This window comes from Homo sapiens, chromosome 3 (assembly GCF_000001405.40).
Source record: "Homo sapiens chromosome 3, GRCh38.p14 Primary Assembly".
Taxonomy (NCBI): domain Eukaryota; kingdom Metazoa; phylum Chordata; class Mammalia; order Primates; family Hominidae; genus Homo; species Homo sapiens.
Genome location: NC_000003.12, coordinates 182,324,775 through 182,335,066, shown reverse-complemented (window position 1 = coordinate 182,335,066; position 10,292 = coordinate 182,324,775). Strand labels below are relative to the sequence as shown.

The following is a 10,292-nucleotide window of genomic DNA, read 5'->3' as shown; positions in this document are numbered from 1 at the left end:
GGTTTATCAATTTTATTAATCTTCACAGAGAGTCAACTTTTGCCTTTGTTGGTATTCTTTGTTGCTTTTGTTTTCTGTTTTATTTATTTCTACACTAATCCGTATTATTTCCTTTCTTCTTTTAAAGTTTAATTTGTTTTCCTTTTCTAGTTTCTTAATTTGAAAACTGAGATCACAGATTTTAAAATCTTTTTATTTTCTAATATAAGCTACAAATTTCCTCTAAGCACCGCTTTAGCTGCATCTGATAAATTTTGATATTTTTTGTTTCATTATCATTCAGTTCAAAATATTTTCTAAAGTTTTTTGAATTTTTACTTTGCCCATGGTTATTTAGAAGCTCAAGTTTCAGATATTTGGGAGATCAACCCAAGTTTTTGCAATTTTCACTTAAGAAAATACTAATGATTTTCATATATCTGGATTTCTATTTTTATCTTTTTAATTGAAACTTAATTTTTAACCTCTATAATCTCTGCTTTATCTTCTCTATGCTCTGTTTATCTTCTCTAGAGTTTCATCTAGTAATATTTATTTCATTCCTATGTTATTCATGTGTGTTATTATTCATTCCTTTTCTCCTGTGTCTTGATTGGCTTTGTTGGTTAATTATTAATTTTATTATTTTTTCAAAGAAATAATATTTAGTTCTGTTGATACTTTAAACAAAATTTTAAATACACATTATTTTTTAGTGGCAGTCTTAGGTTCACACCAAAGTTGAACAGAAAGTATAGAGAGTTTCCCTATATCCTTGTTCCTACATACATACAACCTGCCTCACTACTAACATCTGGCACCAACATGGACATACCAAGGTGCCTTCAAGAAACCTGGAGGTGGCAGAAACAAAATGGCTCTTGGAAGTTAAATCTCAAAATTAACATACAATGGTTCAAAAAACAGATATCTAGGCCAATGCGATTTGACTAAATTGATTGGATGCTATTGTCTATTGGATGCTATCTCATCTTACCTGTTCCCTTACCTAACCTGCTTCCTTACCATCCCAGCCAAGCTATCTTTCATACCACTCCGCTGAGTTCTTTTTCCCAAAGGCATAAATATCCCCCATGTTGCCTAATTCAATAGTCAAATCTCAACTCCTTATCATATTCTACTCCTCAGAAATATTTTAATATAACTAACACTCCTACTATCTTGAAACATTTTCTTCTGGTTTTGGGGACAATGTGTGCTGCCAGTTTTTCTCCTATCTCATTGGCTGTCTTCCTCAGTCTTCTTTGCTTTACCCTCTTTCTTATTTCTGCTTCTAGATTGGAGTTGTTTCAGGCTGAATTCTTGGGACTTCTTCTCTTCTCTATTTGCATTCACCATTCTGAGGGACTGAATCCAATTCCATGGCTTTGAAAACCACTTGTATCCTGATGACTTCCAAATTGTTACCTTTAGTCCCAAACTCTCCTTTACAGAATATAGACTACAGACTATCCAACTGCCTGCTCAAAGTCTGCCTTTTGATGTCTAATAGGCTTACTAAACTCATCATGTTCAAAACTAAAATTTTGGTTGGTTATCCTCAAATATTCGTCTCTATTCACCAATCCCAACTTGGAGTTTATCCTTTAAAATGCATTTTAAGTAACACTATTTCTTACCTCTGTTACTATTATCTGTTTTGCTCCAGAATACCATCATCTCTTACCTGACCTTGCAGTCTGTACTATGTTGCTTTCTTATTGCCACTCTATCTGCCTTTGGTCAATTCTCTGTTTTGTAGCTTAAGTGGTCCTTTTAATATGCAAACCTGAGCATGTCACTGCCCTGTTCAAAACCCTCCAATAACTTCTGTTATATTAGAATAAAATCCAAAACCCCTTATCATAACCTTATGACCTTATAAGGCCCTTTGTGTTCTGGCCCCTGACTGCCTCTTCCACCTCATCTTACCACTGTCCTCCTCACTTGCCCATTGAAAGCCAATCATATTCGTCTCGTATCTGTTTCTTAAACATGTCAAGCATATTCCCATCCCAGGGCCTTTGTTCCTGCCCTTTCCACTATCTGAACACTGTTTTCACATCCACTTGGCTAGCTTCCTTACTTCATCCAGGTCTCTATTCAAAGATCATCCCCTTAGAAAGCCCTTTGGTCGGGCACGGTGGCTCATGCCTATAATCCCAGCACTTTGGGAGGCTGAGGCAGGCGGATGACGAGGTCAAGAGATCAAGCCCATTCTGGCCAACATGGTGAAACCCCGTCTCTACTAAAAATACAAAAATTAGCTGGGAGTGGTGGCACATGCCTATAGTCCCAGCTACTCTGGAGGCTGAGGCAGGAGAATCACTCAAACCCGGGAGGCGGAGGTTGCAGTGAGCCGAGATCACACCACTGCACTCCAGCTTGGCGACAGAGTGAGACTCTGTCTAAAAAAAAAAAAAAAAAGCCCTTCACTGTCCACTCAATCTAAAGTAGCATCCCTCTACCCTTTGTTTATTTTCCTGCTTTATTTTTTTCATAACACTTCAGTAGTAATTGATTTTGTATGATTGATCTACAGACATTTATATTTTTATTACCTTTTCCTCTCATTTGAAATGTAAAATTCATGAGGGCAGGGACTTTGAGACTCTTAGAATTACCATTTTATCACCAATAGTAAGGCATTCAATAAATGTTTTTTGATGTTAGAATAGATTAATATTTTGGCAGTTTGATTTGCCTCCCAGTCTTTCTAAGCTTAGTTAATATGAGCTAAGCCCTGAGAAATGGGATCTTTTTTAGTGTTTTAGAAAAATCAAGTTCCTGACCTTCTAAGGAAGACTCAAAATGGTAAGAAATTTACCAAGGTATAGGTGGAGAGCTTCTCAGATAGGCACTTCGTCCTAGTGACCCGCTCTGCATTGTTGCATGTTTGTACATGTTTTCAAGCCAAACTTCATCAGTTATTTTCTCGTTCAAAAGAGAGAGTGCAGAAAGGTCTGAAATTACTTCATTGGGTCATGGATTCAAGCAGGATTCTATTATGGCACAGTGGTGAAGAACATAGGCCCCAGAGTGAGACTGTCTAGGTTTGAATTCTCTACCACTCAGGAGCCATGCAAATGGAGCAAAATATTTAATCTCTCTATGTCTTGGTTTTCTCATGTCATTCCTTCTCATAGACGGAATAAGAATATTTGCATCATAGTATTATGCTTAGAATACTATATGTAAACACTCAACACATATTAGCAATAATAATAATTATTATTATTCTCTTATTTCTGTTGGTCTCTCAAAGATTAAATTATTATAGTTTTACAGCAGGACTAAACTTGAGGATAAAAGTGAAAAACTTTTGAGGTTCATTCTTATTTCTTACTCTGAGTTACTCCATCAATTTAGGAGAATTTGTTAAGCAGAAGGAAGATTTGTCATCTCTCTAGGTACAAGCAGATGGGCAAAGGGTAACCAGAAGATTACAAAATAGTCTGCAAATATCAAATGGCAGGAAACATGCCAGAAGTAATTGCTTTTAATATTACGACTGGGCTATGACTTATGACTCCCCTGAGATCTCACTGAGACGATCCCAGCTGATGACTCCACTCCTGAACACTGGTGTTAATGAGAGTCACAACGCAATACTGTTTTCCTGTCTATGCAGAGTGAGTTCCATGTTCACACCCAGATGAACACCAAGAAATAGGAAGCAGCAGTAGAGTGCTTTAAAAGTACATAATTAATGCAAAACGTCTTTTTTCCCTCTTGTTCAAGTTCCACTATATACTAGCTTTATTAAAGACCTGTTTAAAACAAACACAAAAGCTCTAAGAATGAACATTTATCATGCACGTACCTTGTACCATGTACCTTTCAAAGTGTTTTACATATATTAATTCACTTAATCCCCACAATAACTCCATGAAATGGGTATTGTTTTTATCCCGGTTTTACAGAAGAAGGTGAGACAGCAGCAGAAAGGTCAGGAACATACCCATGGTCACGTAGTTGAAGTGATGCAACTGGGATTCAAGCCTAGGCTATTTGGCTTCTAGAGCCCAGAAGCTTAGGCTCACCACTCTGTTGTCTAGAAAAGCTCCCAAGCATGCTCATTACTAATCTTATAATCACAGATACACTACCTTTCATCTGAAAACATCAATTTAATTTCTTATTTAAAAGTTTTTTTAAGTAAGAGTGCAAGGCACTGAGCTATGCAAGGGAAATCCATAGAAGCCTTCTAATACTTTACACACAACTCTATGACTGGGAAAACCCCACCCACATCTATTCTATTGGCTGGTTTCTGTTTGCTGCCTTGTTCTAGACAGTTACCTGACTTCTTTAACAATGTAGTTGTGTTCTTTTGTTTTCCACCAGAATTGTAGAAAGGCCCATTATCTCTCTTCTTCAGATCCAAGTGGGTGCTGAAGAGAACAAAAATGGAACAGCCAATCCTCTTTAAGCCTTTTTGCTGTATGTGTAAATTTTATTTTACTTTTTTGAGACAGGTTCTTGCTCTGTCACCCAGGCTGGAATGCAGTGGCATGAACATGCAGCCTCAACCTCCTGGCATCAAGCAATCTTGCCACCTCAGCCTCCAATGTACCTCAGAGAAGAAGTGATATTGAGATATTGAGATAATCTGCCTAATTCACTTATATGATCCATTGGCCAGAATTAGGCAGATTATCTCTATCTCATCATAACGGAGGGTGAGAAATCTGAGAATCACATAAAATAACTGTAAGAACTCTCTCTACCACAATGAAATGTATTTGAAAATTGTATATTCTTGATATGTTAGGACTTTTTTCACAAAGAAACAGTAACAATTTTTTTTATTGTTATTCCCAGTATCCACAAGCACGCACCACCATGCCTGTCTAATTTTTTTTAATTTTTATTTTTTGTAGAGATAGAGTCTTACTTTGTTGCCAAGGCTGGTCTCAAACTCCTGGGCTCAGGCAATCTTCCCACCTTGGCCTCCCAAAGTGCTGGGGTTATCAGGCACGAGCCACTGCAGCTGGCCTGAATGGGTAAATTTTAATAGGTATTTTCTGGAGTTCGGTTTCAACTACCAAGCAGAAACATAATAATAACAGGCAAGGGAATATTATTAAATACACATTTTTGCCTGGAGAGATCTCTACTCAATGCTTACTTCTTACTCCTTTAAGGCTGATCTGGAAGTGGACATTGGAGGCATAACTCTAGTCTTTCATTCTTCTTGAGCCAGAGAGGAATACTTTTGTTGACTTAGTGGCTGTAGTGAGACAAAGGGGACCATGACTTAGGTTGAGACTCCTTGTAGGTAGAGAGACGTAGCTAAGGATGTTATGTGTAAAACTTCCTCCCAGCCTTAAATTCGTGATACAACAATTTTATGTGCTTTGAAAATGGAGCAAGACTACCACCCTCTGCTTATTTTGGGGCTTGGGTTCACAGATGGTGGGGAGGGGAGCATCCTGATCTTTAGAAGTGGATGAAACTTGATTACACTTACAATCTGTGTGACTGTAGGAACATCACTTGTTTCTTTATTTGTAAAATGGGATTCATAATAGATTCTGGCCTGTGAAAATGAGTGATACACTATATATAATACATGACATACGAAAGGTGCTCAGTAAGTTGTAGCATTATGAACTGTAATGGTTGAAAGGCTTTAGGAACCCTATGTTATATTCAATTCATATAGGCACATCCTAAATTATCTTGTTGCTTGAACTTATATTTCCAAAATGTTGACAGACTTCTTGGGAAGTGGCTCTTGTTTAGAAAGACAATGAGACTGCCATCGACTTGATAGGGACATATAGGAAACACTACAGTGGGAGCAAACCTTCAAAAATAGAGTAATGCGAACTTCTTACCCCAGGTAGAACGTCTTTATATTCCATTAGCATCCTGTATACCAGATTTTTTCAGTTTGTCTTTGAAGTCTCCTCACCTCTCTGTGCATCAGTTTCTTCATCTGTGAAATGAAGACATTAATCTCCAAATTCCCTTCCAGCTAAAACTTCGTATTAGTTTATTGATGAGGTGAGAGATGGCATGATTGACAGACTCTGGATTTAGGAACTATAAATTTTAATTATAAAAATGCTCCCTATGAGTAAAGTTACTTTCTATTATCTGTTCTAGGTGGTAGGAGAAGGCTGTAAGTCTCAAGAACAGAGTAGTACTGTCTTAATCACAAAGCTTTGTTGCACAACAGAAAGTACAAATTACTTGCAAATTCGGGAAACCAATTGGATTGCAAGGAGCCTCTGGACTAAAATCATGTCCTGATGCTAGGAAAATAGACTGGCTTCAGAAACACATGACCACTTCCTATGGCTCATCCATTTCTGTTTTAAAACACAACCTTGGAATACATACATTTATTCCTTGAAAAACTTTTTCACATTGCTTGGGTATAACCTGAACATCGAGTGGCCATAGGCATCCTCAACTCACACAAACTGAACAGTATGACACCGTTCATGCTATGGTAAGCCCCGGTTTTGAAAAACCGGAGAAATATTAGTTAGTAACCTGCTCTAAAAAGTTTCACATATAGCACTGTATAAATAAAACTTTTAATACTATATTATGTGGGAAATAAGAACAACATCAATAATGTCCTCTAAGCTCCTTGAAGGTGGAGAGTGTCTTATGCATGTTTATTTCCCCAGCACCTGTCTCATGCAAGGGGATATTTGAATATTGAAAAGAATAGTTAATGTTTGTATCAGTGATATTTGAATTGAAATGTTTCTTGACTTAGTTGAGCACTTTCTCGAGTATTTTACTAACTTTTTTCAAGTCAATATTTTCATGCTGATTATCTCACTCAATCTTTAAAAAATAAATTCTATGACTTATTTTGGAAACCAGGAGTAATTTTTCAACTGAGATTTGATAGTAAATTAAAAGACCATCTTCCCTTTAAGACCAGTGATCTCTCTTAAGTTCCAACTATTAAATATTCTTAGAAAGCCTGTGCCTTGGAATGAGACAAATTGCTGCTTTCTAGCGATATGAGTTGAACAAGTTACTTAACCAGTCCAAGCCTCAGTTTTCTTGTCTGTAAAATGACTTTGTTGTTGGTCGATTGTGTTTTTGTCTTAGTCAAGATTAGATATAATGTATACACAGCCTCTAGAGCAATTTCCAGCATGTAGTGGGGGGGCGGAGGGATATTATTATTGTCATTTTTCTGAAGCTATTTTTCCCCACTGGTAAGATATGACATTTTCTATTGAAAAATAAAAATCTGCTGCTTGTCACTTTATGAAACCTAGACAAGTTTTCACCTCCCATTTTGGCTTAGCTTAAGAAGTAGGATTCAGAATTATCCCACGAAATTAAAAATGTTTACCCCGCCCCCACCTCACCCAAGGGCAATCACCGGAGGGTTCCTGAGCATCCACTCAGCCTGACCTACAGGAGAAATAAAAGTTGAGAACAGGGTCTCCATGCAGAGCTAAATGATTCATGTGCAAACGCCCTCTCTGATTCATAACAAGGGAGCAAATCATCCTGTCATTCCCAGAAGCCTGCAGAGCCAGCCTCATTTGGCTGAGACTGTGGGGGCTTCCAGTTTCCAGGCATAGAGTTTGGCTGCAGTCTGAATGCTTGGTGATGACCAAATTGGTGGGGAATATAGCTGAGCAGCAGGGCTGACGACTCTCTGAGGTACTGTGGGTAATTAGAGATTCATTACAATCCCATAGTTTGTATCATGGCTCGGTGTCAACACAGGGTCACTGCACATGGCAAACTTATGAAGCTGTGTCTAGAAGGATGACGCCAGCCCGGAGAGGCTGGGAGAGGGAAGCGGACAGGGATGAGGAGCAGGGGGGCTGGGACGCAGATACACAGCCAGGGACTGGAGACAGCCCGGATGTGGGGCAGTGGGCCCCGCGGGCTCTGGGGAAGGGAGCAAAACACAGGCAGCTGAACTAGCTTCCCCACCGCCATTCCTGCCATCTCCAATTAACCTTCCAAGCCAAGGGTTCCCAGAGATTGGCATGTCATGGGCCAGTCCAATTTCAAAAAATAATTGGGGCCTGACATAGGGTAGCCAACTTCTTATTTTGCAGAGTAAGGACATTGAAAGCAAACAAAACAGTTGCCATCCACTATCACCATCATTTCAGAAGAGAAAGGGGATTTTTACACTAAATAAGGTAGGAAGGACATAATCTCAGGATAAATGACAGTCATGTAAATTTAATTAATTTAGCTCACCAAGTTATGGTTATTTTTCTCATTACCATGAAGACTTATGAAAACTCTCTTGCAGACTGGCTTTAGGTTTTCCCTCCAGATTTTCCACAGTGGCAAGACTCAGAGCACAGTTTTGTGGAGAATATTCATAAGGAGAAAAAGGACACTGCACATCTTATGAACTTTATGAAGATTGCTTTACGAAGAACTTTATGAAGAAAGATAGCTTCTGCCTCTTCTTTATATACTCTTTTCATTCCCCAGTTGAAAAGAAAAGAAAAAAGAAAGAGAAAAAAAAGGAAGGAAAGGAAAAGCTTATCTATCAAATCATTTCATTAGCATGACATTCAAACTGTTCTAATGAATTTAAATGGGATTTTTGATTTTATGTTTCTTCCAGGTGACATAGCAATGATAACATATCTGTAAAATTCTTTTTTTTTTTTTTTTTTTGAGACAGAGTCTTGCTCTGTTGTCCAGGTTGGAGTGCAGTGGCGCGATCTCGGCTCACTGCAAGCTCCGCCTCCCGGGTTCACGCCATTCTCCCTCAGTAGTATTCTCCCTCCCGAGTAGCTGTGACTGCAGGTGCCTGCCACCACACCTGGCTAATTTTTTGTATTTTTAGTAGAGACGGGGTTTCACCGTGTTAGCCAGGATGGTCTTGATCTCCCGACCTCATGATCTGCCTGCCTCAGCCTCCCAAAGTGCTGGAATTACAGGTATGAGCCACCGCGCCTGGCACATACCTGTAAAATTCTTTTATTTGCAAAGGACTTTCACATTTATGACCTTCTCTGATTCACCAAACAAACCCAGTAGATAGTATTATACTATATTACCCATTGTACGGATGAGGAAACTGAGGGTATGATTTGCCCAAATTCAAACATTCAGTAAATTGTGGAGCTAGGATTCAAACTCATCTTTCCTGGCTCCATAGTCTATACTCTTTCATTACAACATGAATTAAGGGAAAAGAGAGGTACTCTGATATAATTTTGCCATGATCAATCTTTTTATTCTCTGGAACAAGATCTTCACATTTTGGAAAAATCTTATAAAGAATCAAAAGTGAAACCTGGATGGCCCTGAAACCAAAAGCTCTGTTTTTCAGTCCCAAGGCACTCTAATTATGGAGCATGAGTCATCTCCACCCTGATACACTTAAAGCCATATTTCATTAGTTCAAGTGGACCACCCTGCAGGGTGGGGTTACACAAAAGAGGAAAACAGAAGCGTTCAGTTAATGAAACAGAAAAAATGACAGTACCTCACTTATAGCTGACTTTGTGTTAGTATTTTTAGATGTTTTTTTAAAGAACGCTTTTGCATATCTTTTTGTTACGTCAAATTAACAAATTTCACTTGATGCGAATTTGTCACATTCAGAACTGGAAGAAGTGGTGAGTCGGGAGGCTTTGCGGCAAGGAGAATACCGCCTGGGTGAGGAACAGGTGGTATGTGCCCTTCTGTGTGTGACCAGCCCGGCTGCAGGTGGCTTCTGCACTTGCAAAGGCTGAAGGAGCACAAGTAAGGATGTCTCTCACAGGACCTTCAGGCCCTCCCTAGGCATGTGGATGGCTCCTCTCTGTCGTAGTCCTCCTCTAGCTGGAGTCTAAGTGCTTGCTGAATTTCGGGCCTGCCTCAGCTTTATTTCCCTTTCAACACTAATGCACAGCAATATCCAGAACTAACAGGAAAAGGAGGAATTCATTTCTCAGGGAAATATGGGCCTTGAGCTTAGAGGTTAAAATCAGGGATTCTCATATCTGCATTTCTTTAGAACTGTGAAGGGCTTTGTGTTTTGCTTTTTCAGAATGCGTAGACCAGACTTCTAGGTAGGTAGAAACTAACAGCTTCTTAAATTCTAAAATTATTTGAAAAGGAAAATAATTATATAAATTAGAGCTTTATATACTAATCTGTAAGTTTGTCTCATTTGCCTGATTAATGGAACCAAGATATGATCCCAATTAGCTCCCAACTTCAAGATTAGAAAAGATCCTCCATAAACATTCAAATAAGTTTTGTATCTAAGTTAATAGAATCGGACCAGTGTTAATTTTCTGGTTTCGACTTTCTACTATGGTTGTGCACAATATCATTGGTGGAAGCTGGGTGATGGTTAT

General features: G+C 38.7%; 2 annotated features.

Annotated features, from left to right (window-relative positions):
• Positions 7,240-7,780: an enhancer, noted in NCBI's record as "H3K27ac-H3K4me1 hESC enhancer chr3:182045075-182045615 (GRCh37/hg19 assembly coordinates)". NCBI's record gives its function as "activates a minimal SCP1, AML or CMV promoter by ChIP-STARR-seq in naive H9 embryonic stem cells {active_cell/tissue: H9 hESC(naive)}" and the evidence as "EXISTENCE:reporter gene assay evidence [ECO:0000049][PMID:30033119]".
• Positions 7,781-8,322: an enhancer, noted in NCBI's record as "H3K27ac-H3K4me1 hESC enhancer chr3:182044533-182045074 (GRCh37/hg19 assembly coordinates)". NCBI's record gives its function as "activates a minimal SCP1, AML or CMV promoter by ChIP-STARR-seq in naive H9 embryonic stem cells {active_cell/tissue: H9 hESC(naive)}" and the evidence as "EXISTENCE:reporter gene assay evidence [ECO:0000049][PMID:30033119]".